This window comes from Homo sapiens, chromosome 17 (genome assembly GCF_000001405.40).
Source record: "Homo sapiens chromosome 17, GRCh38.p14 Primary Assembly".
Lineage (NCBI taxonomy): Eukaryota > Metazoa > Chordata > Mammalia > Primates > Hominidae > Homo > Homo sapiens.
This window is the reverse complement of record NC_000017.11, coordinates 81,683,999-81,709,185: the sequence shown is the minus strand read 5'-3', so window position 1 is coordinate 81,709,185 and position 25,187 is coordinate 81,683,999. Positions and strand designations below refer to the sequence as shown.

The 25,187-nt window shown below is 60.1% G+C and overlaps 2 protein-coding genes and 1 non-coding gene across 3 annotated transcripts, besides 11 other annotated features; all 3 read right to left on the bottom strand.

Annotated features, from left to right (window-relative positions):
- Positions 1,615 to 1,744: a silencer, noted in NCBI's record as "silent region_9147". NCBI's record gives its function as "represses an Ori minimal core promoter by ATAC-STARR-seq in GM12878 lymphoblastoid cells {active_cell/tissue: GM12878}" and the evidence as "EXISTENCE:reporter gene assay evidence [ECO:0000049][PMID:35858748]".
- Positions 1,669 to 5,819, bottom strand: MRPL12 (mitochondrial ribosomal protein L12). The gene is made up of 5 exons (NM_002949.4): positions 5,611 to 5,819; positions 4,756 to 4,942; positions 4,470 to 4,553; positions 2,146 to 2,280; positions 1,669 to 2,062 (listed from the first exon to the last, which is right to left on the bottom strand). Exons 1-5 carry the CDS (start codon positions 5,682 to 5,684, stop codon positions 1,946 to 1,948), a joined length of 597 nt encoding a protein of 198 aa, NP_002940.2. The 5' UTR covers positions 5,685 to 5,819; the 3' UTR covers positions 1,669 to 1,945.
- Positions 5,452 to 5,831: a silencer, noted in NCBI's record as "silent region_9146". NCBI's record gives its function as "represses an Ori minimal core promoter by ATAC-STARR-seq in GM12878 lymphoblastoid cells {active_cell/tissue: GM12878}" and the evidence as "EXISTENCE:reporter gene assay evidence [ECO:0000049][PMID:35858748]".
- Positions 5,452 to 6,335: a biological region, named in NCBI's record as "NANOG-H3K27ac-H3K4me1 hESC enhancer GRCh37_chr17:79669881-79670484".
- Positions 5,732 to 6,335: an enhancer, noted in NCBI's record as "NANOG-H3K27ac-H3K4me1 hESC enhancer chr17:79669881-79670484 (GRCh37/hg19 assembly coordinates)". NCBI's record gives its function as "activates a minimal SCP1, AML or CMV promoter by ChIP-STARR-seq in naive H9 embryonic stem cells {active_cell/tissue: H9 hESC(naive)}" and the evidence as "EXISTENCE:reporter gene assay evidence [ECO:0000049][PMID:30033119]".
- Positions 6,322 to 6,391: an enhancer, noted in NCBI's record as "active region_12977". NCBI's record gives its function as "activates an Ori minimal core promoter by ATAC-STARR-seq in GM12878 lymphoblastoid cells {active_cell/tissue: GM12878}" and the evidence as "EXISTENCE:reporter gene assay evidence [ECO:0000049][PMID:35858748]".
- Positions 6,322 to 6,939: a biological region, named in NCBI's record as "NANOG-H3K27ac-H3K4me1 hESC enhancer GRCh37_chr17:79669277-79669880".
- Positions 6,336 to 6,939: an enhancer, noted in NCBI's record as "NANOG-H3K27ac-H3K4me1 hESC enhancer chr17:79669277-79669880 (GRCh37/hg19 assembly coordinates)". NCBI's record gives its function as "activates a minimal SCP1, AML or CMV promoter by ChIP-STARR-seq in naive H9 embryonic stem cells {active_cell/tissue: H9 hESC(naive)}" and the evidence as "EXISTENCE:reporter gene assay evidence [ECO:0000049][PMID:30033119]".
- HGS (hepatocyte growth factor-regulated tyrosine kinase substrate) lies at positions 7,065 to 25,175 on the bottom strand. The gene is made up of 22 exons (NM_004712.5): positions 25,083 to 25,175; positions 23,497 to 23,581; positions 22,799 to 22,874; positions 22,091 to 22,183; positions 20,359 to 20,482; positions 18,952 to 19,004; positions 18,444 to 18,512; positions 17,615 to 17,739; positions 15,605 to 15,683; positions 15,434 to 15,532; positions 15,221 to 15,316; positions 14,333 to 14,371; positions 14,119 to 14,262; positions 13,963 to 14,022; positions 13,187 to 13,400; positions 12,657 to 12,829; positions 12,439 to 12,579; positions 12,188 to 12,362; positions 8,586 to 8,719; positions 8,372 to 8,491; positions 8,055 to 8,141; positions 7,065 to 7,678 (listed from the first exon to the last, which is right to left on the bottom strand). The coding sequence occupies exons 1-22, from the start codon at positions 25,117 to 25,119 to the stop codon at positions 7,568 to 7,570; spliced, it is 2,334 nt and encodes a 777-aa protein (NP_004703.1). The 5' UTR covers positions 25,120 to 25,175; the 3' UTR covers positions 7,065 to 7,567.
- Positions 7,544 to 8,147: an enhancer, noted in NCBI's record as "H3K4me1 hESC enhancer chr17:79668069-79668672 (GRCh37/hg19 assembly coordinates)". NCBI's record gives its function as "activates a minimal SCP1, AML or CMV promoter by ChIP-STARR-seq in naive and primed H9 embryonic stem cells {active_cell/tissue: H9 hESC(naive and primed)}" and the evidence as "EXISTENCE:reporter gene assay evidence [ECO:0000049][PMID:30033119]".
- Positions 8,148 to 8,752: an enhancer, noted in NCBI's record as "H3K4me1 hESC enhancer chr17:79667464-79668068 (GRCh37/hg19 assembly coordinates)". NCBI's record gives its function as "activates a minimal SCP1, AML or CMV promoter by ChIP-STARR-seq in naive H9 embryonic stem cells {active_cell/tissue: H9 hESC(naive)}" and the evidence as "EXISTENCE:reporter gene assay evidence [ECO:0000049][PMID:30033119]".
- Positions 15,317 to 15,429, bottom strand: MIR6786 (microRNA 6786). Its single transcript, NR_106844.1, has one exon. It is a non-coding gene; the product is annotated as a microRNA 6786 (primary transcript).
- Positions 16,325 to 16,510: a silencer, noted in NCBI's record as "fragment chr17:79659706-79659891 (GRCh37/hg19 assembly coordinates)". NCBI's record gives its function as "represses an EF-1alpha promoter that drives an FKBP-Casp9 reporter gene in an ReSE screen in K562 erythroleukemia cells {active_cell/tissue: K562}" and the evidence as "EXISTENCE:reporter gene assay evidence [ECO:0000049][PMID:32094911]".
- Positions 24,945 to 25,044: a silencer, noted in NCBI's record as "silent region_9145". NCBI's record gives its function as "represses an Ori minimal core promoter by ATAC-STARR-seq in GM12878 lymphoblastoid cells {active_cell/tissue: GM12878}" and the evidence as "EXISTENCE:reporter gene assay evidence [ECO:0000049][PMID:35858748]".

The following is a 25,187-nucleotide window of genomic DNA, read 5'->3' as shown; positions in this document are numbered from 1 at the left end:
CTGCAGGTCGGGGACTCACAAGGATCCCTGATGGATTCTCAAACGGATCATAAGTTATGTCGGTAGGCCCAAGGGGGTGGTTGGGGCAGACTGAGCAAGCTCACGGGACAGGGCTCCCCGTCCAGCCTCCGACTGCGGCCTGGCATCCACCGCAGTGTCCTGCTGCTTGGCATCCACAGGTTATTTTGGGGGTCCCCCGGCAGGGAGGAAAGGGCCTCTCGGTGGCTCCTGCGAGTGGCCTGGCAGACGCCTGAGCCAGGGTAGACAGCGAGGAGTCGCGGGCAGAGATTTTGCTGGTCTATCTGGCCTGGGTGCAGCCTGGATGAAGACAGCATGTCTGTCTGACCTCAAGCAGGGCTCGTCCCTGAGCTCAGATGTTCGCTGCCTTCCAGAGGGGAAAGGCAGTTGGGGTCAGCAGGGCACCAGGCAGAATGCACCCAGCTCCAGGTGGCAGTGTCACCTCCTGAGGGAAGACCATTAACCCCTCAAAATGGATACCATGGCCAATGGGGACTTCCAGGCTTGGCTTGGGACAGCCTTTCCTGGGGACAGCAGGTTAGTCAGAGAAACTCTACCAGAAGGCCTTGGAAGAGGACCTGGGCCAGGCAGGGTGTACACGCACAGTGAGCCTGAAACTCCCTGCCCCTCCCGCTCCCCCAGGAGTCCCAGCCAGTGGGCAGCTTCCAGACACACGGTGCCCCTTTCTGGTCCCATCCAAGGGATCCTTCCACCAGGAAAACTGAGGCTGGAGGGCATGGCAGCCTACGGGGCCATCACACCAGGCATGTTTCCCGAAGCAGGTGCGGAACATGGCCTGTCTCTGGCCTCATTGTGGGCCCACAGCCTGGGGGCTGGCCTTGGTCACGGGCCAGCTGAGACAGAAATTCGCTGATTCTCTCCCAGGCTTGGCTGAAAACAGGCGTGCCCAAGAAAAGGCGGCCACGGGTCCTCAAAGCAAGGCCCTGGCCGTTCCAGCCAGGCCATGGGGCCACACCCCCTGTACTCAGCAGTGGCACCAAGGGGTCTGCAGCCCGAGAGTGGCTGCCAAGGGCTGCCCAGCACTGGGCCACACCTCACCAAGTGCACAGTGACCAGTGCTCCAAGCTGACCACGGCACTCCCGGTCCCCATGTCCACAAGCCCCTCCTGCCGCTTTGCCCAGGTCCCAGGATACCCCACTTAAGGGCCCCAGAGGAACAGCTGACACCCCAACCCTGCAGATGGCAGGTGCATCCCACACCCCTCCCCAATCCCCCTGCGCAGCCCCGTGGCCGGGTTTAGGTTCAGGGGTACTTGCAGCCTAAGCTAGGGGTGGCATCGCCGGCTCCAAGGCTGCCTCGGTTTCTCAGGCGAGTGCTGAACTTCCTGTTGCCTTAAAGAGGGCCAACACTGAAAACAGGGAGGGTTCCCGCTGCCCAGGTCCTCCACACCACTGCCGTCCACCAGGCCCACTGTGGGGTCTCAGGACAGGGCCCTGCACACCGGGGACCTGATGAATGTCTGTAGACTCTCAGATGTCTGCTGAGGAGGCAGGGAACAAGCCTCCCATCCCGTACCAGCCTCGATCCCCGCACTGGCCCCGCAGCTCGGCCTGAGCACCGCACTCCACACGCTGCCCGGATCCCCGCACTGGCCCGGCAGCCCGGCCTGAGCACGGCACTCCACACACTGAGCTGCACAGTGTATTTTTCTCAGCAGCCACCAGAGGCACATTCACCGGTGGCGCGTCCTGGTGGGCCTCCGGGTGCCGTCACCAGGCAGCAGCCGCCCCTCCCTCCCGCCACAGTAGGTCTGTGCGGCCTGTCCGGCCCCGCTGCGTGGCGCAGGCAATTCTCCCAAACGGCTCCACTGGGCGCCTGGTGCTGGGGGCGGAGCCAGTGACCACGGGAGGGCGGGACCTCGCCCGGGGCCCAGGACCCCTGAACACAAGTCCTCCGAGCTGGAGGCTACTCCAGAACCACGGTGCCGCCCACCGCCTCCAGGGCCGCCTTGATCTTCTCCGCCTCAGCTTTGGCGACATTGGCTTTGATTTCCTGGGGCAGGGACTCCACCAGCTTCTTTGCCTGCCAGAGAGAGCAAAGTCAGGGACTGGGGGCCCTGGCCACCACAACGGAACCTGCCTCGGAACCCCCACCGCGGCACAGACCTGGACGAGGTTGATGCCTTGGATGTAGTTCTTGATTTCCTTGATCAGCTTCACTTTGTCCACGGGCTTCGCCTCGGTCAGGCGGACGGTGAAATGTGTCCGTTCTTTCGCTATGGGGATATCTTCTTCCACCGCCTTAGGGAGCAGGAAAGAAGGGGAGCCAGGTGACAAAGGGCTGGGGGGAGCTAACGCCTCCACTGCTGGGCCACCCCAGTCTAAAGCCCCAAAGGGAGGTGCAGCGGAGGCCCCAGCGAAGCCTGGAGTTGGAAGTCACGTCTCCCAACTCATCAATCCTTAACCAGCTGGTGCTTTTTCTTTTCTTTTCTCTTTTTTTTGAGACGGAGTCTCACTCTGTCATCCAGGCTGGAGTGCAGTGGTGCGACCTCAGCTCACTGCAACCTCCACCTCCTGGGTTCAAGCGATTCTCCTGCCTTGGCCTCGCGAGTCCAGCTGGTGCTTTTTCTCTCATGCTAGTCAGAGGCAGGTCTGCCCAATAACTCTTTGTAACATGCCTCGGACGGGAGTGGTGGCTCCGGTGGCTCACGCCTGTCATCCTAGCGCTTTGGGAGGCCAAGGCGGGTGGATCACTTGAGGTCAAGTTTGAAACCAGCCTGACCAATATGGTGAAACCCTGTCTCTAGTGGTGCGCGCCTGTAATCCCAGCTACTCGGGAGGCTGCGGCATGAGAATTGCTTGAACCCGGGAGGCGGGGGCTGAGATCGCGCCATTGCACTCCAGCCTGGGTGACAGAGTGAGACTCGGTTTCATAAATAAATAAAAACATGCTTCACAGTCCTTCCCTCAATACTCTACTCCCCTCTCGCTTAGAAAGCGTAACTTATGAGACAGGAAAGAACGACACCAAAAGTGCTTTGTAGATAAAAGCAGCGCCATTCCTTTCTCAGCCACACTGCAGTGCACGTGTGCCGAGAAAATGACAACCCGCCATGGGACTGACGGGCACGCTGCGCTTCTGACGTGGCGCATGGAGACCCAGCACCACCCGAGGGCAGGGGGCTGCGTGTCCCCACGGCCTGGGAAGGCTATTAATAACATCTTCTCCCTCCTCAAAAGCAATCCAGTTTACACAACAGGCTCTACAGTAATCCCAGCTATTCTTACCCAAACGCTCGGCCTGAATCTAATCAGCCTTTAAACTACCTTCCAGTTCTCAGGCATGAGTGATGCTGCCCCATGGGCACCCCACGCATCTGGAACATGGGACACTCTACAGTACACAACCTGGTTCCCCAGTGGGGGAAAGGGGCTGAGGGGAGGGCTCCGGTGGAGAGGTTCACGCAACCCGATGACCAAACGCAACTGGCGGCTTCAAGTTCACTGGTTTCCTTGCAAAGACCCAAGGACGGAGCTGCTTGTTACACCCCTTCGCCTGCGCCAGCCTGTACCTCGCTGCTGCTCCCTGAATTGTCAGACACCCTCTTGCCTGGTGACCTTGGTGCCTCCCCGTCCTCCGCCAGGAAGGCCGTGCTCTCTTCTACAATGTCTGCCTCCTCTTTGAAGCCCACCTTGAACTTGGAACTCTCCCTCCCACCTTGAGCCTCTTCCCTCCTTTTCCCCACAATGCTTACAATGTTCTATTTGGTATAATTTCTTCCTTTCTTTTTCCTCTTTTTTTTTTTTTTTTTTTTTTGAGACAGGGTCTTGCTCTGTTGCCAAGTTGGAAGGCAGTAGTATGATCTTGGCTCACTGCAACCTCCGCCTCCCTGGTTCAAGCAATTCTCTTGCCTCAGCCTCCCAAGTAGCTGGGATTACAGGCACCTGCCACCACGCCGGCTAATTTTTGTATTTTTATTTATTTATTTATTTTTATTTTTATTTATTTATTTTGTTTGTTTGTTTGAGACAGTCTCCCGGGTTCAAGCTATTCTCCTGCCTCAGCCTCCCGAGTAGCTGGGATTACAGGCATGTGCCACCAGGCCCAGCTAATTTTTTTTTTTTTGTATTTTTAGTAGAGACGGGGTTTTACCATGTTGGCCAGGCTGGCCTCGAACTCCTGACCTCAAGTGATCCACCCGTCTCGGCCTCCCGAAGCGCTGGGATTACAGGCGTGAGCCACCACGCCCAGCCTCTTTTTCCTCTCTCAGCTTAGTGTCTGTTTCCCTCCATTAGAAACATGGTCTCCACATGCAAAGTCGTGCACATCCGTGGCAGGGAGTAGGTCCCAGGAGGCTGCAGGATGCCGCACAGGTGTGCAGGCTGCAGACAATGACGGTAGCTGCAGAACCTGAGATACGGGACCACGGCACATGAGGCCACAGGCGAACTGGGCACCCCAGAAATGCCTCATTCTGCCCAGGACTCACCTCCTGGGCTGCTGCAGCAGGGACAGCCCCAGACATCACACCACCCATCGGCACAAGCCCGACATCCTGGATCTTCAACGTTTTCTGCAGAGATAGAGAACAGTGTCCACAGCTGGCCCTCACACCAGCCGGAACCTACTGAGGAGGGGCAACTAGCCTGGCATGGACCTTGCACCTGGACAAACACACTTTTGACAATTTACCAAACTCCCAAAATACACCAGGAACAAAACACAGGGGCCCTGAAACTTCCAGCCCCTGGGTCTGTGCCACCCTCTCACGATACCTTCAGGAGCTCGTTGAGGTCTGAGATTTCCAAGAGAGTGAGGCTGGCGATGTCCTGGACCAGCTGCTGTATCTTGGGGGGGTACTCCTTGGGGGCGTTATCCAGGGGTGCACCAGCGAGGGCCTCACACCTCTGATGGCCGCTGCTCCTCATATGTCGCACGGCACAGACACATGGCACCTGTCGCCTAGCCCCCACCCCCAATTAAAACAGACTTGTCAGTCCTGGAATGGAAGGGGCTGCAGAAACCAGAGGGGCAGGACAACTGGGGGACTGGTGGGTGCCATAAGCTCAGGCTGGTAATCACTAGGGCCGGAAATTACCTAGCTCCTTGGTCCCAGTCCAGGGTTCTCAGACCTCAAGGGGTCCGTATTGATAAGATTTGCAAGTTACTTTAAATTCTTCAAAGAGCCTTAGAAAGCCACGTGTTTATTTGCAGCCATACCACTCAAACCTCAAGTTTCTGGTTTGAATGAACTACATCAACCCAGCGGTGGCGAAACTATTACTTAGGTGCATCTTCCTGCGCAAAGCCTCCCAAAACATGGGGGCCCCTGGCCGCAAAACGCCGCACCCACGGATGGGCCTTTGCTGCGGAAAAGGCTGAGGCCAAGGGAGGAGCAGGGAATCGTCCAAGGTCATCTGGGGCCGACCCCGGCGCTTTCCACGGCCCAGGAGGGAAGGGGCGTGCGCACCGGGAGGCCTCCTCCCCGCGCCCCCGATGGGACCCCCAAGCCCGGCCTGGCCGCTGCAGGGAGGCCGGCCCCGCCGCCCTCCTCGCCCGGATCGACCCCTCAGTGCCCGGCTGCCCCCTAACCCGCCTGCCGGCCCGGACCGCCCCAGGATCCCGCGTACCTGGCAAGGCGGAACGCAGCGGCCCGAAGCCCAAGGCAAGGCCCCCACAGGGGGCGAGCGGCCGCCGGCAGCATCGGTCCGCGGGCTGGAAGGTCACACGCGGTTCCCCGGGAGGAGGCGACGCTCTAGCCGCCTCGGCCGCCGGGCATTCGAGCTGGGGAGGAACGCTCTAGCCGCCACGGCTGCCGGGCATTCGAGCCGGAAATGACGCTCTAGCCGTACCTCGCGCTAGCCTCGTCTCACCCTGAGATTACCCACAAGGCGGCGCGCTGCGCAGACGCAAAAGCGTCGTCTGTGGCGGCAGCTAGACATCGGGCGACCCTCGTCCCGCCAGGTTTTGGGGTCGCGCAAACGAGCGACGGGGGCTGGGGCTCCGGATTCAGGTGTTCTTTCTTCAGCGCTCACGGGTTTCTGTCCGTACGCGATGCGAGCGAACGTCGCGGTCGAGGCTAGGGCCCCGAAGCCCGCAGTAATCCACGTCTCCCGCCCGCTCCGGGCCCCCAGTGCCGCCGTCGCGGGCGGAGGCGCGAGGTCTGGGCTTTGGCGCCTTCGCAGCCGCAGGCGACATCCTCTTTCCTAGCTAAAGCCCCAAACGCCCAGGTGGCTTCCTGGGAGAGCACGGCTGAGCCTCCGCCTTCAGATCAGAACAGGCAGAGCCTCCAAGGGCGGCTTGGGCCCAGTGCCTGCTTATCCTGCCCGTCTCTCCACACTTCTTCTTTCCCTGTCCGTTGGAGTCCATTCCTTCCTGGAAAAGCCAAAGCCGCGCTCCCCTAAGAGGCCTGGATGTGAAGGTGAGTGAGACGCCCTGGCCTCTGGGTGCAAAGGCCGGCGCCTGCCGCTTTCAACACTCAGGAGGCGCGTTTCAGCCCCGCTGGCCCCCGGCCGCAGACTCGGAGCGCTGAGCTCCCACCGTTCCCATCACCCGACTCCCTTCCCAGGAATGAGGAGCACCCGGGAAGCTTCAGCCACTACACGAAGGAGGCGCCAAGCCCAAACTCCTCCCCAGCTACCGGCGGGGTCAGTGCAGAGCCGCGGAGGGCACACATGAACCCTGGCACGCAGCCTCAGGGAGGGGCAGGCTGGAAATGACCCTGCCTGCAGCTGGGCCATCAGCCTGACCACCTGCCCCCTGAGCAAACGTTGATGCAGGTCGGGCGCGGTGGCTCATGCCTGTAATCCCAGCACTTTAGGAGCCCGAGGCAGGTGGATCACCTGAGGTTAGGCGTTCACGACCAGCCTGGCCAACATGGTGAAACACCGTCGCTACTAAAAATACAAAAACTAGCCAGGCATGGTAATGGGGTGCACCTGTAGTCCAGCTACTCGGGAGGCTGAGGCCCGAGAATCGCTTGAACCCAGGAGGCGGAGCTTGCAGTGAGCGGAGATCACCACTCCAGCCTGGGTGACAGAGTGAGACTCCATCTCAAAAAAATTAATTAAAGAAAAAACGCTGATGCTTTCTGAAATACATTTTATTATCGCTGTACCATTCTGGGGCACTGGAGATGGCAGCTGAGAAGCAGAGAAGCTGGAGACCTGAAGCCTCCACCCTTGGCTGTGGCTGCCGAGAGAGGCCCCTGCAGAGGGAGCCCCAGGCCACACCCAGACACCACAGCCAGCTCACAGTGCGGCCAGAGGGCACAGGCTGCTTGGGGGGTGAGGGTCCCCATTCCTGCCACCTCTCACAGACCATGACCCACAGGGCTGGGGGCTTCCCCTGGGAGAAAGTCCTTCCCTCCCCATGGCCCAGCCCTGGGGAAAGAAAGCAGAGACTAACTCAGGGACTGCAGTAGGCTGAGGACAAGGGAGGTGGGCTTGGGGTGAAGGCCCCCCCTCACTCGCAGAGAAGGGACACTACCGGCAGTAGAGGACAGGGAGGCAGGACGACGGCAGTTAGAGACGAGGCGTTTCAGGTGAACTGTATGTAGTGTTACTCCGGACGTGAGCATGGCCTGGGTCAGTCGAATGAAATGAGCTGGGCCTCGCTGCCCTGTGCCGGCGGCCCCTGTGCCTGCGGTTGCTGGGCCACGGGGGGCTGCTGCTGGGGGGGACCGCCAGAGGGTGCCATCTGTGCAGGAGGAAAGCAGGCATGGCCCTGGTCCTCCCTTCCCCAGCCCAGGGAGGAAGGCTTTTGTCCCAGCAGAGCCACAGACCCACAAGTGCTTGTAATCCATGTCCACGGACTGCAGCTCATGCAGCCAGCTCATGCGGCCTTTGCCTTTCAAGTAAATTCACGGTTTTTCCTGTCTACACTTGCGGATGCGCGTATCTGCCCTGAGACTTGTGTCCTCGTTCTGTCTGCTGAGAAGGGGCCTCGGGTATGCGTCTCCCCCTGTGAGCAGACGTACGGGACAATCCCCACTGGGGCCAGGGGTCCCATTGCTAAACCGTGAAGCCTGAGGGTGCCCTGCGGGTGCCGCTGTGAGGCCCCGGGAATGGCTCACCTGCTGGTACATGGGCTGCTGCCCCGCGATGTAGGGCTGCTGGGGTGGCAGAGACGCATCCTGGCTTGGGAGGGTGGTCATGAGATTCTGTTGTGAGAAGACGTCAGATGTGAGAGAGTAGCCCTGTGACCAGGCAGGCGGGGATGTTTCTGGCTTGCAACAATCCAAAGGTGACCACAGGGAGCACCCAGAGAGTGGAGGGGGAGGAGCAGAAGGGGTGGAGCCCACCCAGTGCCTGCCAGCCTCACCAAAGGACCCTCAGCATCATCAACTGCTCCCCCACCCTGGCCCCCAGCAGGGCCTGGAGGTCACTGTACCTGCATGTTGTAAGGCTGGTAGCCCATGGAGACTGACTGGCTCCCCATGTAGCCCATGGTGCTGGACTGCGGAGGCTGAGAGATGGCCGGGAGGCTCTGTGGGGCCTGGGAGGCCACGTTCTGCGGAGGGAATGAGTGCCATGGGAGAAGGGGCTGGGGCTGGGGCTGGGGCTGGGGCTGGCCCTGGAAGGAGAGGAGCGGCCTTCCTGTGTACCTGGTAGCCCGCTGTGGGAGTAGGCTGGTAGGATGAGTAAGCGGGGCTGGCGGTGGGTCCGGCCTGGGCCTGGGGGGCCGCCTGCGCCCCAGTGGCCCCTGCTGGGTACATGTAGGCACTCACCATGCTGGGATCTGTGACAAACAAGACAGGGGAGATGGTTCAGCCAGGGCAACAGGGAGGAGAGGAAGGGACACCCTACTCTTGAGTTTTACTTTTTTTTTTTTTTTTTTGAGATGGAGTCCTGCTCTGTCACCAGGCTGGAGTGCAGTGGCACAATCCTGGCTCACTGCAACCTCTGCCTCCCGGGTTCAAGCGATTCTCCTGCCTCAGCCTCCCGAGTAGCTGGGATTACGGGCGTACGCCACTACGCCCGGCTAATTTTTTTTTGTACTTTTAATAAAGATGGGGTTTCATCATGTTGGCCAGGATTGTCTTGATCTCCTGACCTTGTGATCCGCCCGCCTCGGCCTCCCAAAGTGCTGGGATTACAGGCGTGAGCCACCGCGCCCGGCCGAGTTTTACTTTTTTTTTGAGATAGTCTGTCACGCAGGCTGGAGTGCAGTGGCGCGATCTCAGCTCACTGCAACCTCTGCTTCCTGGGTTGAAGCAATTCTCCTGCCTCAGCCTCCCGAGCAGCTGGGATTACAGGCGTGCACCACCACACCCAGCTAAGTTTTTGTATTTTTAGGAGAGACGGGTTTCACCATGTTGGTCAGGCTGGTGTCAAACTCCTGACCTCAGGTGATCCACCCGCCTCGGCCTCCCGAAGTGCTGGGATTATAGGCGTGAGCCACCGCCCGGCCAGGAGTTTTCCTTTTTGTTGTGACTTTTGGAACCAAGTTCAGGTTTCACGTTTCTAAAAAAAAGGAACATAGGCGGGGCGTGGTGGCTCATGCTTGTAATCCCAGCACTTTGGGAGGCCGAGGCAGGCGGATCATGATGGCAGGAGTTCGAGACCAGGCTGTCTAACATAGTAAAACCCTGTCTCTAATAAAAATACAAAAACTAGCTGGGCATGGTGGCAGGCGCCTGTAATCCCAGCTACGCAGGAGGCTGAGGCAGGAGAATTGCTTGAACCTGGGAGGCGGAGAATGCCGTGAGCTGACGTCGCACCACTGCACTCCAGCCTGGGCGACAGAGCGAGACTTCGTCTCAAAAAAGAAGATAAACCAACAAGGATGGGAGGAGAATCCTAGAATGGAATGAAATCAGAAAAAATGAACCAAACTGTATTTGAAATGAGTGACATGGTCTGACCAATGGGATGGGATAGTGAATTCCAGTAACTTCTGAACCCAAAATCTGGACTCCACGGCCTCAGGCTACAAATGACAAGAACTACAGACAAATGTTACACTCCAGTTAGGAGGCATCGTCTCCACAGTGGGCCAGGTTAGCATTCTTAAAACTACTTTTTGTGTATTCTAGGGCTGAGCAATTGAGTATATTGAAAACAATGCAAAAGAAAACTGTGCTATTGGATTAAAATTGCAAGTACTGGAATTAACTCATGGATTTTTTTTTTTTTTTTGAGACGGAGTCTCGCTCTGTCACCCAGGCTGGAGGGCAATGGCATGATCTTGGCTCACTGCAAGTTCCACCTCCCAGGTTCCAGTGATTCTCTTGCCTCAGCCTCCCAAGTAGCTGGGATTACAGGTGTGCACCATCACGCCTGGCTAATTTTTGTATTTTTAGTAGACGGGGTTTCACCATGTTGGCCAGGCCAGTCTCCAACTCCTGACCTCAGGTGAGCCACGCGCCTTGGCCTCCCAAAGTGTTGGGATTACAGGCATGAGCCACCGCACCTGGCTGCACTCACGGTTTTTATCATATACAAAGACGCATGTATTCGCACATACACAGACGCACCCACAACTGTGCACTTGTATTCACATACACACTTTCCAGCTCTGTCTGCTAACAACCTAGAGCTGTGAGCACACCCAGAATCTTGATCTTGGCTTCTAACCAAGATCCAGACCACCCTCCACTAAAGGGAACAAGGGCTCCTTGGAGAAATGGCTGCTTCCAGGGTTGAGAACATACAAGACGAGCACAGAGTATCTAGCAACAGAAACTCAGGAGCAACCCAAACCAATGGCCCTACGCAACAGAGAAGCCACTGACGCCTCCCATGGCCACACCTGGGAAACTTTGAGCATCAAAGTAACGGGGCTGGGCACGGTGGCTCACACCTGTAATCCCAGCACTTTGGAAGGCCGAGAAGGGCGGATCACTCGAGGTCAGGAGTTTGAGGTCAGCTTGGGCAACACAGAAAGACCTCATTTCTACATTTTTTTTGAGATGGAGTTTCACTCTGTTGCTCAGGCTAGAGTGTGGTGGTGCAACCTCGGCTCACTGCAACCTCCACTTCCCGGGCTCAATTCATTCTCTGCCTCTGCCTCCCGAATAGCTGGGATTACAGGCACGTGCCACCACGCCCACCTAATGTTTGTATGTTTAGTAGAGACAGGGTCTCACCATCCTGGCAGGCTGGTCTTGAACTCCTGACCTCATGACCCACCTGCCTCAGCCTCCCAATGTGCTGGGACTACAGGCGTGAGCCACCGCACCCAGCCCTTTTTTTTTTAATTAGCCAGGCATGGTGGTGCAATCCTGTAGTCCCAGCTACTCAAGAGGCTGAGATGGGAGGATTGCTTGAGCCCAGGAGGTCGAGGCTGCAGTGAACCATGATCATGGCACTGCACTCCAGCCTGGATGACAGCGAGACTCTAAAAATAAAGAGTGATGACAGAGGAGTGTCACCTTTGAAAGAAAAAATAAACACGTCTCCACGCTGCTGTGACTGACGATAAGCAGGAGAGTGGGGAAGAGTACCTCCCGCCAGTGGAAAGACAACAGCAGAATTAGAAGGCGCTATTTGGCAAACACCGTAATAAACACAGGCAACATTAGCAAAAAATGCTAGACCTTGAGGAGTCCCAGGGTATTTGGAAGGCCTCCCCCAAGAGACATCTGTAAAGGGCAAAACAGTCACTTCACAGTGAAAACCCCTGGCAGACCCCGTCTCAGCCGAACGGCCAGCAATGGGACTGACGGGATGCACGTCACCTCGGCTGCCACTCTGAGAAAAGCACAGCCTTATGGTCACCGCGTGGAGACACCAGACAAACCTGAGCTGAGGACGGTCTGCCGAATGACAGGCCAGTGCTCTTGGGACAGTAGATGTCACAAAACACAGAAGCTGACTGGGGAACACTCTAGATTAAAGGCGGGGGGGGGGGGGGCAAATGCCACGCAGCAGGGGGCGTGCTGTTTACAGGACACCACTGGGACAGTCCATGAGGGCTGAGCCTGCTACAGACGAGGATCGGCAGCCCAGCACCTGCTGGTTTCAGGAAATGCTCGCTGTCGCATTCAGGGGAGAGGGCAGTACCTGCCACGCACGGACTGAAACACGGCTCCAGCAGGAAAGCCTGTGTGAGTGCGTTTGCATGGAAACAGGAAAAAGCAGGGACAACATTCACATCGGGGCAACTGGGAAAACCCTTCGCACCATTCTTACTGCTTTTCTGTAAATTCGGCTAAAATAAAGACGAGGGATAAAAGGCATGGTCTCTGCCCCGACCCGTCCTTACCAGCCGCAGTGCTGGGCATGCTGGGGTAGGGGCCAGCGGCAGGGGCCGGCTGGCTCATGTACACGCCGTGCATTGGGGAGCCCTCCACCGAGCCGGCAGGGCTGAAGGTGCTGGGGAAGCTGGCTGGTCCCGAGGGCTGGTAGAGCACACCTCCGGCTGCGGGCATGGCCTGGAGCTGGGGACAAAAGAGACAGCGGTGAGAGTTGGTCCTCAGCCCACAAGCCTCTGGGTGGCGGGAGGATGGCACATGCCTGGGCGTAGGGCAGGGGGAAGGCGGGCATCTGCGCGCGCATCTGGACCGTCTGCTTCTGCTGCTCCAGCCGCATCTGCCGCTCCTTCTCCTGCTCCTGCAGGCGCTGGATGGCCAGCTGCCTCTGCACCTCCAGGTACTCCTGTGCGGCAAAAACATGCTGGTTATGCTGCGAGGTCCCCCAGCCGGCCCCGGCCTGTGGCTGGGCAGCCACTGCACCTGCTTCTTCTGCCGCATTATCTCCAGCTTCTGGGCCAGCTGGATCTGGCGCTGGCGCTCTGCCTCCTCGGCTGCCCGGCGAAGCTTCTCCCGGTGCTCTTCGCGCAGGGCACTCAGCGCCCCCCGGGCATCGCGGATCTGTGCCAGCTTGTCCTGCAGCCCCTCATAGTACACTGTGGGCAGATGACAGAGCAACCCTGACCACTCCGGCACAGTGCCGAGAAGCTCCTGGGTGGAACGGACACGCAGATGGGCCGCCCTGTGCCCAACCTTCTGCAGAGGGCTCTGAAGGTGCTGGGCTCTGGGGGAGGCAGGCAGAGGGTCCTGGGCAGGGCAGGGCAGGGCAGGGCAGGGCAGGGCAGGGCATGGTCATCACTGAGACCACCTCCTGTTGACACTCTCTGGAGGAAGCCACGGCCCCAATGAAGGACTCACAAGAGCTCAGCACCCTCAGGGGAGGCCCTGGCCCAGGATGGCGCTCACAACACCTGGCTGCCCCTGAGCCGAGGCCCCGTGGCGCGGGCACCTACGCCTGCGCTCGTCCAGCTGGTTGAGCAGCTCCAGCAGCTGCGGGTGCATGCCGTTGATGGACTGGAAGAGTGAGAGCACGGCCGAGTCATTGGTGATGCTGCGGCCCCGCATGTGGTTACTCTTCATGCGGTTCACGAAGGTGGTGACGGCGTTCTGCAGCGCCTTCAGGAACTGCTCGTGGCTCTCCTCAGACTCGCCATTGTGGAACTGTGGCTGCAGGCAGAGCAGGGTTCTGGATGAGTGCGGCCACGCCCCAGCCAGCCTCCCTGGTGGGGCCTGGGATGGAGGCACCCAGCTATACTCAAGCCTGGAGCAGAGTCCATCTGCTCCTTATGCAAGCAGCCCCTTCTACAGCTGAGGAAGGCGAGGCCCTGGAGGCGGGGTCCTTGTCCAGCTGCAAGCCCTGGTCAGGACGGAGCTGGCTCAGGGCCCCACTGCCAGCTCCCTCTCCAGGGACCTGTGCTCTGACAGCCAACCAGCCCACAAGCCCCAGGCAACGCCAAGGACTCATCTGATGGTTCTAGGCTGCTCTGGAATATTCAGGTCCATGTTAGGTCCACAGAGAGTGGCCCGAGCTCTGGACCACAGCCTGGTGTAGAGTTTCCATTGGGAGAGGCCACAAAGGGCAGGGCAGGGCAGGCCAGGGCTGGGCTGGGGCAGACACCCTTGCTCTAGCACGGCCCTCTGGTTAGGGCAGGCACCTGTGCCATGTGCCTGGCGCTGTGGGCCAGGAGGCCATGTTTTGCCCTGGCCCGTGGAGGGAGCCACAGCTTACCTCACTAAAGGGGCCACCAGAGGGAGGAATGGGCTGAGAGTCTGTCTCCGGGAGGGGGTTCTGGAAGAGAGAGAATGAGTGGGGCCTCCAACCTGTCCCGCATCCACCCCTTCCAAGGGACCCTGCCACTAGGAATGCCGGGAGTGGCCCCCTCACCTCCACCACGTTGGTGGGGGCTGCGTGCCCTTCCCCAGGCTGTGCAGCCGGCTCCGTCAGGGGCACGGGCGCAGATGGCGTGGGGCTCTTGCGAGCCTCCTCCTGCTTCTTCTCCCAGTAGTTCCGGTTGAGATACCGTGCGAGCTGCAGGCAATGAGGGGGTCACTCCCAAGGCCAGAAACCGTGAGAGGATGCACCCCATGCTGGGCCTTACCTCAGGGTCGATGTCCTCAGCCAGAGGCGCCGACGAGTTCTGGGGAGAAAAGGGCATCTGAGTCTCACAGGTGACAGAGCCAGTTGCTTCGGCAGGGACAGGGATGTCCCCAGTGCGACAGATCCTGGAGACCAGAGCCGCAGCCTGGGCCCTCCCTCCGTGCCCTCCTCTGGTTCCTGGCATCTGAGCAGCCATCTTTTCTCCTCTTCCAGATGCTTAGAACTCCACAGAGGCTGACAGCACTGCCGTCCTACAAGGCTCCTAACCTTGCTATGGGAGGAACAGGGTGGCACTGGGCCAGCCCTGGGGCCTCAAGGTGGACACTGGACAGCCCCCACGGTCCAGCGTGTGGGGCCCCAGCCGACAGCCCGGAAGGAAGGGAAGAAGGGAAGGGGTGGCTCACTGGGGCAGGGCTGTTCTGCACCCCTGGGCCTGCAGCGGCCTGGCCACTCCACGGAACCTACAAAATGACTTTCTCAACCTGCTGTCCCCGACCCAACCCCCTGCAAAACAGGCTGCCTCTTCACCCTCTACTGAGAGCGGGGCTGAGGCCAGGGAGAGGTGACGTGGATGCCCCAGAAAGCAAGTCCTTCAGTTCCTGTGGGGCGGGAGGGGTGTGGAAGAGACGGGGTCTCACCAGCAAGGCGCCTCCCCCACAGCCTGTCCCATGTCCTCAGTCCCAAGGGCCGAACCAGGGACCAGGAGCAACGGGTGCCTGGAGCCGTGGGGCTCTGCCCTGATGTCCGCCCGTGTGCTGGGGCTGTCCTCTCTGGGAAGCCCGGGGACCCGCATCCCCCACCAACCTGACTAAATCAGCTCAGGGACCCGCGTCCCCCATCAACCCTACTGCCTTCCAGGAGAGGGAGCTCCAGCCCAAGGGCCGCTCACCACAGGTGAAGAGTACAGGCTGCTGGCGGGGGGCGCTGAGGAGGCCGAGGGCATGGGCTCCGCCTTGGGGTACGAAGTGTACGTGGACTTCTGTCTCTGAGGCAGAATCAGAAGGGGCGTCACTTGGGTGCACGTGACGCCCCTCCGGCCCCACCGCAGCACATCCAGGGGAGCTGGGCCCCTCCTGAGGCCGCCCCGCCCCACCCGGCTTACCAGCCTCTCCTTCTCCTCCGCCTCTGACTGTGACAGCGCCAGGGCCAGCTGCAGCTCCTCCTCCTCCTGCAGGGCCGTCTCGTCCCTCTTGGGGGGCAGCTGAGGACAAGCGGGGAGGGTGAGGGGGGGCGCCGGGGAAGAGGTGCCCACGGGACGGAGGGGGCTGAGTACCTGGGACTGCTGAGACAGGGGGCTGGTCAGGTACTCGGGGGGCAGCTCAGTGGTGGAAGTGGCCTTTCCCTCCGCTTTCCTGTGGGCACAAGGAATGCTGCAGGTCACCATGCGCTGACACCGCCCTGCCCCCGCCAAAGCTCTCAACCACACCTCTGCGGGCTCCTCTAAGTGTCCCCACAGAGTGAGGACAGTGGTTCCACAGCCACAGGTGTCCGAATGGCCACACTCCAGAGCAGAGCAGGGCAGGACTCGAGGGCATCACACCAGCCACAAGGGCTCGGGTGAGTCCCTCAGGGTAAGCCCCAGTTCCTCTCCTGAAAATGGACATTCAGGACACCAGCCCGGCCTGCGAAGACCTTCCTACGGCACTCGGGAAACCAAACACAGCACCGCCACTGTGGGACGGGCCCCACCCAAGAAGGGGCAAACAGGTCAGTGACTGTCATGCCCAGTAAGCTCTTCCGGGGCGCCCCAGGCAGTCCAAGGGCCGCAGGCTCACAGCATGGTCGCAATTTCCAACCACGCACGCTGACCTTTGACCTGGGGCTCTTTTCTTTTTTTTTTATTTGAGATAGAGTCTTGCTCTGTCGCCCAGGCTGGAATGCAGTGGCGCCATCTTGGCTCACTGCAATCTCCGCCTCTCAGGTTCAAGTGATTTTCCTGCCTCAGCCTCCCGAGTAGCTGGGACTACAGGCATCTGCCACCAAGCCCGCTAATTTTTGTATAAAATACAAAAATTTTAAGTATAAAATACTTAAAAAGTAGAGACGGGATTTCACCATGTTGGCCAGGATTGTCTTGATCTCTTGGCCTCGTGATCTGCCCGCCTCAGCCTCCCAAAGTGCTGGGATTACAGGCATGAGCCACCGTGCTCGGCCGACCTGGGGCTCTTTCCTAAGAGAAAAGTCCACACCGAGGCAGACCTGCACAGCCCCCAGCACAGGGAAACGGCAGCAAGTGTGTGTGAAGGCAGGAATGGCGCTGGGATGCCCTGCCATGGAGCCGCTGGCTCACAGCAGACTCACGCTTGTGGGCAGTGGCTGCGACGGACGGGACTTGACGTGGCTCAAGGCAAGTTCTTCTCAGTTACAAGAAGGAAAAGGAACTTTCCGGGCAGCGGCCCATCACCGGACATGGCTGGCTTGGATGGGATGTCCTGAGGAGGGCATGGCCTCACTCCTGAGCTTCCCGAACCTAAGCAGGTGGGAGCCTCAGACCTGAACAGGGGGCCAGGTGGCCACGGCCTGACCTCCCAGAAATGTCCACGGAGCGAGACAGGGAGGCAGTGACACGTTCCAGGAAAAGGGAACCAAGCAGGGAGCACGGCCCACATACGAAACACACGCAACCCAGGCCAGACCCACAGCGACGCTGCTGGGACCACGGCAGAAATGGAACGTGGACCACAGAGCAGAAGCCAGCACTGGGTGGCAGCGCAGTCCCGAGTGACTGCTGTGGCCATGAGAGCACTGTCCCTCTCAGAGATCACAGGCGAAGATCTGAGTGCCAAGGGGCATGACATCTGCACTCATGCAAATTCAAAATAAAACCTGTGTGAACACACGCACGCGCAGGAGAGGGGAGGCAGAGTAAACTCTGCGACAAAACACCGACCGCCGAGGCACCGGCCGCGGCCCCGCAGGTTCCCACCGCTGAGGCACTGGCCGCGGCCCCGCAGCTTCTCTGTGCTACTCTTGCAACTTTTCTGTAAGTTTTATTCCGAAAGTTGAAATGCAAACAAACCCAAACCCAAACCCAAGCAACAGGTTTGTCGGGGCAGCCTCGGTCCCTGGAGCCGCGGCGCCCTGTCTCTCACACCCACCTGCCCTAGTGTGGGGCAGGGTCCGAGGGCATGCGGCCACCCTGGGTTTCCCTTGACCTTCCAGCTGCTGTGCTGTGAGGGTCCTCTGGGGTCTGCAGGCCTCAGGCACCATGGCCAAGAGGGACAGAAAACCCAGCCTGGAGAGCCTGCCCCACCTGCAGCCCAAATGGGGGGCGGGGACTCACCTGTTCAGCTGCTCGTAGCAGGGCTCACACACGCGCACCTCCTTCTCGATGCCAAACTTGGGGATGGTGGAGTACTTGGAAGAACACTTTCCACAGAATATCTGCCCACACGCCCGGCAGTGGTGCTGTAAGATGGGGCGGGCGGGCCTGGTCACAGGCACTGGGGGACCCTGATGCGCCACCCGGCCCAGAACCACCCCGTACGATGCCGAAGCTGGGCCTCACAGGTGGGGGAAGGCAAGGGACAAGCAGAACAAGTGCCTGGGAAGACCCTAAGGCCGGGGAACCTGGACATGCTCCCGGGAGTCTCAACGCCAGCCACCGTTTTGGGGAAAATAAGGTAAGTTAAAAGTAAGGGCAAGGAAAAAATACACATCAATTCTGCTGATAAAACAAGAGCTTTTGTGAGTGCAGTGGGTGCTGGAAGCTGCTGACACCCCAAACCCCAAGCACTGCCGGTTGCCAGCCTGGAGGGGGTTTTGATGTGAAGATGCCTCGAGGGTAAGAATCCAGATGGGCTAAGCCACAAAGAGAAGGGGGCCCCACGGCCCTGGCAAGCAGCAGAGTGACTGTGGCAAGGCCTGTAGCCCTAGGTTTAAAACATTATAATTCCAGAGTGAGGCTGGGCCCGGCCCAGGCAGTGGCATCAGGCCCTTACGTGGGCCCTCACTGTCCCCCTCCTGACGCCACACTGCCACCCGCTGCGAGCTGCACTCACCTCCTGAACCACCCACCAGGAAGGAAAGGCCCAGCAGGGACGGTGGCCTTGTGCACGGCAGGGGACCTGGTGTCTGGCCGGGGCTGTAGAGCCCCCCAGGTGGGAACTCACCTTACGGGTCATCACCCCGAACTGCACCCTGCAGCGGTGGCATTCCTCAGCGTCCACCCAGTCTGGGGCCTGAGGAGGGGCAGCAGTCAGGACCACACGCTTCCCGCCCCACCAGCCCCAGAGGCACAGAGCCTCCCCTGCCCCACAGAAGGCAACGGACCCAGAGAGGACCCCAGCACGAGCGAGAGCAATGCCCCGGGCGGCCCTTCCCAGCGGCGTGGCCTGGGGTGAAGCTGCCGAGGCCTGAGGAAGGGACTTCCTTCCTCATCAAAGGTGCTTGTTTTCCTTTCCCGAGCCCCCTAGCCACTCTAAAGGCCCTCAAGCCACGTCTCCACCTCGCCCTGCAGAGACAGCTGCTACGCCTCCGCCCAGGACACACAGGCATCCTCAGGTCCCAGACAGACGAGAGCTCAGCCACCAACCCTCAAACAAGCCGGGCTCCCAGCACTCCCCTTCACGCTTCCTGAGCAGCCCGACTCCAGAACCCCTGGCGGCCGCCCACACTCACTCTCTCGGCAGCAAACATGGCATCGCTCTCTTTGAATTCTGGAAAGACGTGCCCTGGAGAGATGAAGCCATAGTCACTGCCTGCTCCCACCTGGCCTGCAAGACTTCCGGGAGCCCCTTCCTCACTCTCGGCAGCTGCAACGCAGCAGTGACCGTGCACCCAAGTGAAGGTGTCTGGGGGCACCGAGACAGCCTCCTGCCCCCAAGATTGGGTGTCCCCATGGGGCCTCTGTCCTCACTGTGGCGGGAGACAAGAGCCAGGCCCTGCTGCCCTCTTCCTGAGACACTGCTCCCACTCCATCAGGGCATGAGGCCCCTGCGTGGCCCCGCCTGCTGAGTGGCTCCCTCACCCTCTGCTCTCTGGCCAGGGCTCCCACTGATCCTGAGGACAAGACCTTGAGCTATTCTTGACACACGACCCCAGAAAAAATCCAGGAGAGCTCCCACCCCAGGAAGGAGACAGGAGCACAGACCACCAGCATCCACCACCCCAAAGTTGAGGGTCCAAGGCAGCTCGTGCAGCGCCCCCTGCGTTCTTCCCGTGTTCTCCACACTGGTCCTGCCCACCCTGCAGCCACAGGGCAAGCGTCCAACTCCTGCAGCGGGGACGCACCACCCCTGGAGCCTGCCCCATTCCCCACGCTCTCAGCCTCGTCTTCAGCAGACTCAGGGCCACAGAGAACCCGCACAGATGTGAGCAGCCATGCCCACCTCTCTCTCACTGAGTGGGCCCTGAGCACCAGCCAAGACTCCCAAATGCATCCTGAAGCCCCCACCTCTCTCTACACAATCCCCTAGTTCTCCACGGCCACAATGGCCGAGAGGGACCCTTAAGAAACACACCTTGGCAGCCACGACCTAGACGAAAACCCACCAGAGGCCTCCTGCTGCGCTGACAGCAACCCTGAACTCCAGCCCAACAGCCTGGAGGCCCTCGGCGCACAGGCCCGGCTGCACTCTCCTCTGGCACGCTGGCCACCTTTCTGCCCTGGGGCCTCAACCCTGAGTGTCTGCCCACGGGTGCTGCCTGCCTGCTCACGCCGGCTCTGGCTTCTGTTCCAGTCTCGACACTTGGGACAGCTCCTTCAGAGGCCTTCCCTGACTGCACAGCCCAACCCGGCCCCCAGGAGTCCTGCCACTCTGAAACAGGCTGTCTGCTGCCTTTTCACCTGTGTGTTGTCTGCCATCACTGCCTGCCCCTGCCCGTGGGCCGTGGGTCCAGAAAGGCAGGAGCCGGTCTGAACCCGCCCTCACATGCACGGTCTTCCCTGGCTCCAGGCCACCGCCCTCCTCCCTCCCAACACAGGGAACAACCCATCTTCCCAGGCCCCTCGCCACTGTGCCCGTTGAGCCTGACTGCCCAGCAGTTCCAAGCCTCAACCTGGTCCCAACCTCAGTCCTGACTCACCCTCCACCTTCATGATCTGGTAGGTGTCCTGGACCACCTTGTACTTGGGCTCGTTCCGGAAGGCATGCGCCCAGGCCTGGATCAGGTACAGGATCTTGTTACGGACGTTTACCTCCACTTGTCTCTGCAGGCAGGGAGAAGGGGGTGAGGGTCGCAGGACACTCCAGGCGCCAGAGGCCTCGGTGTGAGGAAGCAGCTGGCAGACCTCAGCCTCTGAGCAGATGGGGCTGACACAGAGGCCAGGGAGGGCCCCCCGAGTGGGGCGTGGGGGCCATGCACCAACCTGTTCCCAGACCCTGAGTTCAAACCTCACGCCTGCCTCTACTTGCTGGAGCCAAACAACGCCGCGTCTCTGTGCCCCTGACCATCTGTCTCTCCCTTTCCCCACGGGACCTGCCCACCCCAGGATCCCCGGTTCCCGTCAGCCTCCAACAGGCAGGACCCGGCAGGCCTGACGGTGGCAGCGTGGTGTTGGGGCTGAGAACACAGGGGTACTGCGGGGCTCTGGCCACGCCCCTCCTTCCAGTCACAGCCGGGGAGACGCGGGGGGCAGCCGCTCCAGAAATGCCTCCAAATTCAGAGCGGGCTCCAGACCCCCTGCAGCCATCCTCTCCCCCGGTTAGAGCGCAGCCTGGCCTCGCGTCTACGGCCCTCTCGGGGACGCCGTCCCGGTGTGACGTGCAGGACGGCGTGCGATCAGAGGCTGCTGCAAGCAGGCTCCGGGGCACTTGCACCTCAGCCTAAGCTCCTTTCCAGAACCCCTCTGCATCCTCAGCGGCGCCTTCCCTTCACAGCCCTGCCTCACCCCAGAGGAGCGAACCGGCTCAGGATCTGCAGCCTGACTGAAGGAGCTCAGGAGCACCAGGGTCGGGCAGGGCCAGACTCCGGCACCTTCCGCCTCTCAGCCAGGACAGGACGGGACAGGAAGCCAGCCAAAGTGGCCAGTGAGGGCCTTTGAGAGGCCTGGCTGTCCACCGGGATCCCCGGGCAGGTTCTCAGCTGTGTGAGTCCAGGGAGTCTCCTATGAGACCCAGGTCTGGCCCACAGGTTGGGACAGAAGGGGAGCAGCCTGACTACATGGGACACTCTTTCTCCTTGACACCTGCAACAGCATCCCCACTGCATCACAGTCCACATCACAGTCCCTGCAGGTGTCCCCAGCACAATCCCTGCAGATGTCCCCGGCACAATCTCCTGGGGATCTGGAGGGCTTTTCCTCCTCTGCCCAGGAAAGCATGAAGCCCTCGCTCTCCAAAACAGCTCTTATCCCCGCCAGACACATCCGATCTTACAAGCCCCCGCTCAGAGCCCTCCCAGGCCCCTGCCTGTGGGATGTGGCCAGCCTGCCCTCCGGACCACAGCCACTCTCACACACGATAGCCACCACCTGCCCTGCCCACCCAGTGGCATCTACTCACCTTCCCTAAGACAGCAGGTGCCCAAGCCCTGCCTCCCGGAAGCTTCCCCCAGGCCCCAGGGTCGCTGTCACCTTGGTCCTCCAGACACAGCACCCCAGGCCGGCTCCTGCTAAACCCTGACCTCCCTGGATTGGGGCTCACGGCCCTGTCTCTCCGACTCATGAGTGCGAGCTTGCGCAGTGCAGGGACCACCGATCTGCACCTGCACATTTTCCGCCACACCTGGTGCTGTTCTGTCATCAGTGCCCAGTAAACACCCGGAGAAGCAAAGGTGCCAGCCTGGGTGGCCACCCGCATGCCCCCGTCTCACCCACCTTCAGCAGGTCCTTCAGCTCCTCCATGGTCTGCTTGTTGGCCACCTCATCATGAACTGTCTGGCCACAGTTCTTTACCACAGATTCCATGACCTGCAGATGCCCAGGAAGGGAAGGGTTGGGCCAGTGGTCAGGGCAGGGCCCCTCCTCCTCCCGGACAGACCCACCTCCCTGTGGGACAGCAGAGCCCTTCGACAGGCCCGTCAGTGGCCGGTGGGGAACCCGGTGGGACAGCAGAGCCCTTCGACAGGCCCGTCAGTGGCCGGAGGGGAACCCGGTGGGACAGCAGAGCCCTTCGACAGGCCCGTCAGTGGCCGGTGGGGAACCCGGTGGGACAGCAGCCCTTCAACAGGCCCGTCAGGCCAGTGGGGAACCCACATCTGAGACTCAGCAGCCTGCACAGCACCGCTCCGTGACGCCAAGTCTCACTGCCAAGCACAGCAATGACATCCGCCTTCTGGTGTTTACTCACGCAGGACCGGCTGAAGAAGTGGTGCCCACTCCCTCCCCTATCTCCTGTCTCTCCCTCAGCGTGACCCTCTCCTAGGTGGCACTGTTCACACAGGCACTCAAGGCTGAGTGGAAACTCTCCTGCTTGATGTATGCCCAGGGAGGTGGGCAAGGCCACAGGACAAACTCTTCTCATGCTGTCGTGACTAGTAGGGGGTAGGGACCCTGGGGGCCACTGAGGCACGGGGGTCTGCTTACCTCCAGGGCATACAAGGCGACGTGTGGGTTCTTGTCGTTGACTTTCTTCTTGATGGAATTCACAGCATATTTTGCTCTGAAAAGGAAACATTGATAAAAGCAGAGAAAAACGGGAAAAAAATAGTCTCAGCAACTAAGATGAGAAAAGCTCATCTGCTGCCAGGTGCAGTGGCTCACGCCTGTAATCCCAGTGCTTTGGGAGGCCAAGGCAGGAGGATTGCTTGAGCCCAGGAGTCTGAGACCAGCCTGTGCATTACGGCAAAAACCCATCTCTACCAAAATACAAAAAATCAGCCGGGCGTGATGGTGAATGCCTGTAGTCCCAGCTACTCAGGAGGTTGAGGTGGGACGATCGTTTGAGCTTGGGAGGCAGGGGCTGCAGTGAGCTGAGATCACGCCACTGCACTTCAGCCTGGGTGACAAAGCAAGGCCCCGTCTTAAAAAAAAAAGTCTGTCTGCCATCTTAGTCTTTGAGAACCCCGAAGCAAATACAAACATAACCAGGTATCTGCAAGCTGTACAGAGAAAACCCCTTAATCCTCCAAGATGTCAAAAAATCCTAGCATGTAGCCCATGCAGTTCTCCACATAAGAGCCTAACACGGTCAGCTACGTCGTGGAGACCCAACGGGCACCAAGCGAGCCCAGCTTAGTGCACGGCTGCTCCTCCGCATCAGGGCACAGGCCCCGCTAACTCACTGTGTGTCCCCTTGGCGGATCAGGTCGCAGATCTGCAAAATGGACTCCCAATCTGTCTCCAACAGGAGCTGGCTGGTCGCCTTGTCTGAGAGAGAAAATGCCATGAAAGGGAGGGGTTATCCTGCTGGACGCCCCGTGCAGCACCCCAGCTTGGCAGCAGCTGGGGGGGACTCTCTCCTTCCCCTTTAGACATTTGGACCAAATGAAAAAGCATGACAGAATCCTCCTGAGCGTGCTGATGGGCAGGGAAGTGCCATCCTCCCCAGGGAAGCAGCAAACAGCGTAAGAGCACACCAGGTGCTGGTCCAAGCCCTCCCACAACCCGCGAGCGAGGTAAAGACACTCAGCAGAGAGGCGAGGGCACTGCCGTGAGTCACACAGCTCACCAGAGACAGAGGCTGATTCACTCTTAAACATCAGGCTCGGCTGCTTCTCAACAAAGAACCCTATCACCCGTCCCTTGGAGTCCCCGTTCGCCCAGATGCTCCCGGTTTCAATGGGACCTTAGCTTGGGCAAGGGCTAGAGAGGCCTGCAGTGTAGACTCCAGGCCCCTTGCTCCAAGCCAAGTGCTTTGGAAATAAGGGCAGAACGGGGCTCCAAGGAGGACTCGCCAGCATACCTGTCATCATACCACATCACTGCTGTCTCCAACAACTGGCCCCTCTGGGGGGGCAGCTCCAGCTCTGCCCACATCGCCTTTCCCGGATACAGAAACGATCTAACAAGCCAAGCCACGTCCACTTTCTATACTGATTCAGTAGTTAACCTCTGGATTCATCCCTGAAGCACTGAACTACCTGTGTGGCTGAGATACTCAGTCTGCTTGCTGGTTCCCTTGGCAAGGAAGGTGTCTCACTTGAAGTCTCCTTGAAAACCCTACTTGACAAAAAGGCAAGCTTGGGCAGCCCATTCGACCACCCAAGCTCCTACCCCCAAACATTAGACGCATTTTCCACGTGCTGCTGGGCACGTGCACATCAACATTCGTTTCCCTCCCAAAACGCGTCAATTCCAGGAGGCTCAGATAGGATCAGCTTTCACCTCCAAAAACGTGAGAAAACGCCTTCCTAAACCATTAGGCACTTCCCGAAGCCAGTGTGGGAACAAAAGGTGGGTCTGGGACCCGCAGCCCCCAAGAGAGCTCGAAGGTCCCAGAGAGAACACTGCCGGCTCCACCCTTCGAGGCCCAGTGTTTTGGGTCAGAAGCCCAAGTGCGAGCCTAACATCCGACTGAGTCACCCACTTTCATGACTCAGGCCTTGTGGCCCACTCGGCCGGGTGCTCGTCGGTCAAGAGGAAATCGGCCGAATGCCCGGGCCCGCGGAGGAGCGAGGTCGCCGAGCGCCCCTGGCGCCCTGCGCGGACCCTCGCAGAGCCCCATTTGCCAACGCCCGACGGACGCCGACCCCACGGCCGCGCCGAGGGTCCAGGATCGGCGGCTCCGAACCCGGGAGGACAGCGGGCCGGGGAGAGGCGGGCAGGGCGGCCGGTCCGCGCCCCTCGGGCCCTCGGGGCCGCGCTGACTCAGCGCCGGGCGGAGGCTGCGGGCTGACCAAGGCCGAGCCGTCGGGTGGGGACGCGTTACCTAGGAGACGCTCGAAGGTGCCGCTGCCTCGCCCCATGGCGACCTCCAGCCCAAACCCGACGCCGCGGGCGCTCCCCTGCTACGAGCTGGCGCGCCCCCCGACTT

Coding starts and splice junctions, on each gene's coding strand:
- MRPL12 (NM_002949.4), bottom strand. CDS start 5,684: ATGCTGCCGGCGGCCGCTCGCCCCCTGTGGGGGCCTTGCCTTGGGCTT. Junction 4,943..5,610: donor GCTGCGTTCCGCCTTGCCAG/GTACGCGGGATC, acceptor GGTGGGGGCTAG/GCGACAGGTGCCATGTGTCT. Junction 2,281..4,469: donor CTGCTGCAGCAGCCCAGGAG/GTGAGTCCTGGG, acceptor CTGCTCCCTAAG/GCGGTGGAAGAAGATATCCC.
- HGS (NM_004712.5), bottom strand. CDS start 25,119: ATGGGGCGAGGCAGCGGCACCTTCGAGCGTCTCCTAG. Junction 15,317..15,433: donor CGGAGGAGAAGGAGAGGCTG/GTAAGCCGGGTG, acceptor ATTCTGCCTCAG/AGACAGAAGTCCACGTACAC. Junction 7,679..8,054: donor AGCAGCCCATGTACCAGCAG/GTGAGCCATTCC, acceptor CCTCCTGCACAG/ATGGCACCCTCTGGCGGTCC.